We start from the raw sequence: 6,948 nt of genomic DNA, 5'->3' as shown, positions 1-6,948 counted from the left end.
AGGTGCTGGGCTCAGCAATATGTAAAAATTCCCTCTCTTGGCAGAGTCCAGCACAAAGAGGAGGGTCACATCACCTAAGTTTTGCACTCAGTGGTATGTCACAAATTCTTCAGTGGGCAGGATCAAGGCAGGAGAGGAGAGTCTCGTTACCTAGATACTGTATCTAGTGATATGTCATAGTGTCCCCTGTAGGAGGGCACTGGGAAGAGAGACACATCACTTAGCTAATAGGATCAGAGACATGTGATAATATCCCCTGTTGACAGGGCCCAGGCAGAAGAGTTACAGTATTATGATTCTGACCCAGCGATATGTAACAATGCACCCATGGAAAGGAATTTGAGCCAAAAAGTCTCAACACCTGGGTACTAGGGCCCAGTGATATGACACAATCTCCTGATCTTTGAGGGTGACACCTTTAACTTTTAGTTGAGTGTGTATATTAGAGTCACAATCACACATATGTGCTGGGCCAATGTATGACACTGTCTACAATATCCAAGGGCTTTATAAAACCTGCTTGAGAGTTGCAAACCTCTCTGAGGCTTATGGACTCACAATTTACATATTTCCCTAAATCCAGGTTTGATAGTCAACGTCTCTCCTATAGGCAGGGTTAAGGGAGAAGACCCATTACTAAGCCTGTGGGCTGGGTCCAGAAATGAGTCACCATCCCACCTGTGGCCAGATCCACATATAAAAGTCAAAATTCCAACTTTTTGCTTTATTACTTTGTTAGACTCAGGACCTCAACAGCAGGCTTTGTAAATGTAGGATGGTGACAACTTTTAATTTCACCTGGGGGTGTAATCAAGAATCCCAATCTGAACTTTTTACTGTTTCCTGTTATGAAACTCTCTACCACAAAAGAGTTTATACAATATAAGTTAGTGGTGTAAGCTTCTGTGAGCTTGGTATAAATATGCAACCCAGGACCTCACCTATTGTCCTAAGTCTAGCAATTGAGGGAAAATATCTCCTGTTGGCTTAATCCCAATATAAGTTTGATCATCATGCCTGTGAACTGAAACAAGGTATATGTCATAATCTCATTTGTTGGCAAAAAACTAGGCAGGAGGATAACATCACTTAGGTGCTGTGACAAGCAATATGTCACAATGCCTACTCTAGGCAGGGCTGGGAAATTGGGCCACATTAACTGGGTGCTGGACCCAACAATATGACACCATTCCACATGAGGAAAAAACCCAGACAAGTTATGGGAGCCCCAAAACACCTACCCAATGGGCCCAAGAAATATAAAAATACCTTCAAGGGCTTCAGCATAGGAAAGTCACATCATAAGGGTGCTGGGCCCAGCAATATGAAATATGCCATAATTTTCTCTTTATGAAGAATTCAGGCAGAAGAGTAAAATCATCTGGGTGATGGGCCCTGCAATAGGTCAAAATTCCTTTTTTGTGGGCATGGTTTGGGAAAAAGAGGAGAGCCACATATCCTGAGTGCTGGGCTCAGCTATGTGTCAAAATCCTCCTATTGTGAAGGCCCAGGCAGAAAAACAGAGTCACATCACTTAGGTCATGGGCTCAGAGATATGCCCCAATGTCCCCACCAGGAAGGGCTCTGGCAGATGAAGAGAGTCATATCACCTAGGTGCTTCCCTAGGAATATGTCGCAATGAAACATGTTGGGCAGAAACCAGGCAGAAGAGCCACATCACTCGGGAGCTGGGTCCTGAGATATGTCACAAGGATCTCTTAGGACAACACCCAGGTAAGAGTGTTACATCACCTAGGTGCAGGTTATCTGCTTATGCCACAATTCACCATGTGGGAGGGCCCAAGGAGGGAGTCACTTCACCTAGGTGATAGGCCCAGAAATATGTCACAATGTCCTCTATGAAGCATAGCCCTGACAATGAGTACCATCACTTGTGTGCCTGACCTAGAAATATATCACTCTCTCGGTTTGCTGGGCCCAAGCAGGAGAGCCACATAACTTAGATGATAGGCCCAGAGATACATCACAATGCTCTCCTTTGGGCACGGCTCTGGAAAAAGGGTACCCTCACCTGTGTGCCTGGCCTTGCAATATTTCACTATCATTCCCTTATGCACAGCCCATTTCAGAGAGGAGAGTTACATCACCTATGAGATGAACACAGAAATATGTCATAATAATTTTGGTGGGAATGGCGCCCGTAAAAATGTAACATCACCTGGGCGCTAGATCCAGTGATATGTCACAATCCTTACTGAGTGAAGGGCCCAGGCAGGAGAGTCACATCACCTCGAGCTTGGGCTAGGTAGGTATCACAATCCCATGTATGGGCTGGAATAAGTCTGGAGAGTCAAATTACACAGGTGCTTGGCAAAAATTTATATCACAATCACACTGCCAGAAAATTCCAAAGATGAGATTTACAATACCGCATATGTCCTGTTTTCATGTGTGACAGTTGGCTTCATCCATGTGAGATGATGACAGTCCTTACTGTCAGCTGGGAGTGCGTACAAGACTCACAATTTCACCTGTATGCTGAGCACTGATTTAACTCTGTATAACCCAAAGACTTTGTAAAATATGTGTGAGTGTTGTATTCTTTTGTGGCATTTGCACAAGAAGGTGATCCAGGACATCACACATGTCCCTAAACCTAGTTATAAGAGTCACAATATCCTCTATTGGCTGAGTCCACATATGAAAGCCATTATCATTCCTGTGAGCTGTGCCTAGGTATATATTACAATTCCCTCTGTGGTTATGAAGCAGGCAGAACAGCCACATCACCTAAATGCTGGACCAGAAATATTCCAATATTCTCTTTGTAGGCTGGGTCCTGTCAGAAACATCACATAACTTGTGTGCTAGGTCCAGCTCTGTGGCACAATGTTCTTTGTGGGCAGTGTCTAGGCAGGAGAGGAGAGTCATATTACCTAATGACGGGCCAAAAAATATTTCACAATGCTGCCTGTTGACAGGGCCCAGGCAAGAGAGTCATATCATTTGGATGCAGTGTTTAGAAAGGCTACAATTGCCAAAGGAAGCAGGGTACAGGCAGGAGAGGAGTGTCATGTAACCTAGATGATGGGTCCGGCAATATGTTACAATCCCCCCAGAGGACACTGTTAAGATAGCACCATCAAATCACCAAGGTGCTTGGCCCAGGTACTTGTCAAAATCTCATTTGTGGGCTATACCTAGGCATAATTATTAAATCACTCAGGAGCTGGGCAAATATATATGTCACAATTACACTTGTGAAAAGGTTTAAGAATAAGAGTCACCATCCTGCACGTGTCCTGGCTTCAGGCATATGAGTTGTTATTAGGCTTTTGTTATGGTCTCAGGTATATGACAGAATATCACCTGTGGCCAGAGAGAAGGCAAGAAAGTCACATCACCTATGTGGGTTCAGGTCCAGTGAGATGTCACAATCCACCTTGTGGACAGGACACTGGCAGAAGAGTCACATAATCTGGATCCTGATTTCAGTGACATATCAAAACCTCCTTTATGGGCAGGACTTTGGCAAGAGACTCACTTCACCTATGCAATTGCCCTAGATATATGTCACAATGGTACTAATGGGCAATACCAAAGCTGGAGAGTGACCTCATGTTGTTGCTGGGCCCAGCAATATGTCACAATTTCCCTGTGGCCAGGACGCAGGCAAAAGTGAAAAAACATCACCCAGGTGCTGAGCCAAGTGATATGTTACAATGCTTCCTGTTGGCAGAACCCAAAAGGAGAATCACATCGCCTGGGTGAAGTACCCAGTTATGTGTCACAATGCATTGTAAATGCCTCGCCAATGCAGTAGAAGGGAGTTACATCACTTATGTGATGGACCTAGATATAAGACACAGTTCTCTTTGTAGGTAGGCTTTTCGCAGATAATTCACATCACCTGGGTGAGGTCCCAGTATATATAAAAGTGCCCTTTATAGGCAGAGCCAAGGAAGCCATTATATATTGCTTAGGTGCTTGTTCTATGTATGGCACAATTTTCTCTGTGGTCTGGGCCTAGAAAAGAGAGTGAAATTATTAATGTGCTGGGGAAAGTTACCTGTCCCAATCACACTCCCAGAAAGGTCTGGATATAAGTTTCGCATCCCACACAAGCCCTGGTTTCGTGCATGTGAGTCAACTCTTTCTATGAGTTGGGTCTAAGTAGAGGAGTCACAGTCTCAACAATGCACAAGATCCATGTATAACAGCCCCAATCCCACTTGAAGATTGTGTTCCAGTAGGGGAGTCACAGCACCACAGGTGTGCTGAATCATGGTTCAAATGTTACCAAGCCACCTGTGAACAAGATCCCTGTATGAAAGTAGTTATTTCAACCTTCAATTGCTTTATATGTGTGAGATTCAGTACCTCATTCCAAGGCCCTGTTCATGTGCAAGAATGACAATCGTGTCAGCTAGGTGTGCACATAAGACTCACATTCTCACCTGGTTGCTGGTCTCTGTTATGACACTCTTTGTAACATTACGGCTTTATATGATATACCTGAGTGCTATAATTCTTCGTGAACTTTATGCAAGTGAAAAATCCAGGACTTTACCCATAGCCATGAGACTGGCTATGAGAGTCAAAATACCGCTACTGACTGGATCCAGGTATGAGACTTATTATTGCACATGTGTGATTAACCCACATATATGTCACAATTTCACCTGTGAGCAGGGACAAGGCAGGAGAGTCACATCATCTGGGTGCTTAGCCAGTGATACAGCATAATCTCATATGCAGGCTGGGCCTAGTCAGAAGAGTCACATCACCTGGGTACAGCCTCAAATAGTATGTCACTAAGCCGACCATAGACAGGGAAGAAAAAAAAAGAGGAGAGCCACTCTACCTGAGTGCTAGGCTCTGCAATATGTAATAATCCCCTCTCCTGGAAGAACCTAGAATATGGATGAAAGTCACATCACCTAGATTTTGCAATTAGCGATATGTCACAATTTCTTTGGTGAGCAGGACCCAGGCAGGAGAGGAGAATCACATGACCTAGATGTTAAGTCAAATGATATTTCACAATGTCCTCTGGGGACAGGGCAGAGGCAGAAGAGACAAATCAACTAGCTTATAGGCCCACAGATACGTGATAATATTCCCTGTTGTCAGCGTCCAGGCAGAATAGTTACATTATTTTGATTCTAACCCAGCGATATGTCACAATGTACCCATGGTAAGGAATTTAACCCAAAAAGTCTCAACACCTGGGTGCTAAGCCTAGTAATAGGCCAAATTTCCTTGTCTTTGAGTGTGACACCATTAACTGTGAGCTGGATGTGTATATGAGAGTCACAATCTAACATGTTTCCTGGGCCATTGTATGACACTACAACATTTGAAGGATTTATACTGCATATATGAGAGTTGCAAGCCACTCTGAAGCCTACATGCTTCTTTGGATTCATAATCTTGCATATTGCCTTAAACCCAGTTATAACAGTCAACATGTCTTTTGTAGGCTGGGTTCAGGGATGAGGCTTATTATTATGCCTATGAGCTAGATCCAGAAATGAACCACCATCCCACCTGTGGCCAGATCCACATATGAAGATCACAATTCCAACTTTGCACTGTATTCACTTGTTAGACTCAGGCCCTTAACAGTAGGCTTTGGACACATGGGATGGTGACAACATTTGCTTCACCTGGGGGTGTAATAGAGTCCCAATATGAACTTTTTGCTGGTCCCTGTCATGAAACTCTCTCTACCACCCAAGGGTTTTTTTTTTTCAGTGTTTTAATTTTTATTTCAACTATCAGACAATTTTAAAAACTGAGAAGAGAAGCTTACTGCTTGTGCCCATGATTTTGCTTATAGTGTTTTTCCTTCCTTCTAATTTTCCAGGCTTCCTTCTTTTATCCTTTTCTTTCTGTTTAGAACTTCCTTTAGTCATTATTTTATTGTGGGTCTGCTGGGGACACATTTTCTTAGTTTTCCGTCTGAGAATGTCTTGATTTTTTTCCTTGTTCTGAAGGATCACTTTTACTGGATATTAAATTTTGAGTTAACTGTTCATTTCTTTCAGCACCTGAAAAACTGCCACTTCGTTCCAGTCTCTATGGCTTCCTTTTATTTTATTTTACTTTATTTTATTATTATCATACTTTAAGTTTTAGGGTACATGTGGACAATGTGCAGGTTAGTTACATATGTATACATGTGCCATGCTGGTGTGCTGCACACATTAACTCATCATTTAGCATTAGGTATATCACCTAATGCTATCCCTCCCCTCTTCCCCCACCACACAACAGTCCCCAGAGTGTGATGTTCCCCTTCCTGTGTCCATGTGTTCTCATTGTTCAATTCCCACTTATGAGTGAGAATATGCGGTGTTTAGTTTTTTGTCCTTGCGATAGTTTACAGAGAATGATGATTTCCAATTTCATCCATGTCCCTACAAAGGACATGAACTCATCATTTTTTATGGCTGCATAGTATTCCATGGTGTATATGTGCCACATTTTCTTAATCCAGTCTATCATCGTTGGACATTTGGGTTGGTTTGAAGTCTTTGCTATTGTGAATAGAGCCACAATAAACATACGTGTGCATGTGTCTTTATAGCAGCATAATTTATAGTCCTTTGGGTATATACCCAGTAATGGGATGGCTGGGTCAAATGGTATTTCTAGTTCTAGATCCCTGAGGAATCGCCACACTGACTTCCACAAGGGTTGAACTAGTTTACAGTCCCACCAACAGTGTAAAAGTGTTCTTATTTCTCCACATCCTATCCAGCACCTGTTGTTTCCTGACTCTTTAATGATTGCCATTCTAACTGGTGTGAGATGGTATCTCATTGTGGTTTTGATTTGCATTTCTCTGATGGCCAGTGATGGTGAGCATTTTTTCATGTGTTTTTTGGCTGCATAAATGTCTTCTTTTGAGAAGTGGCTGTTCATGTCCTTCACCCACTTTTTGATGGGGTTGTTTGTTTTTTTCTTGTAAACTTGTTTGAG

The sequence above is a fragment of the Homo sapiens genome, chromosome 8 (genome assembly GCF_000001405.40).
Source record: "Homo sapiens chromosome 8, GRCh38.p14 Primary Assembly".
NCBI lineage: Eukaryota > Metazoa > Chordata > Mammalia > Primates > Hominidae > Homo > Homo sapiens.
Note: the sequence above shows the minus strand (reverse complement) of the source record.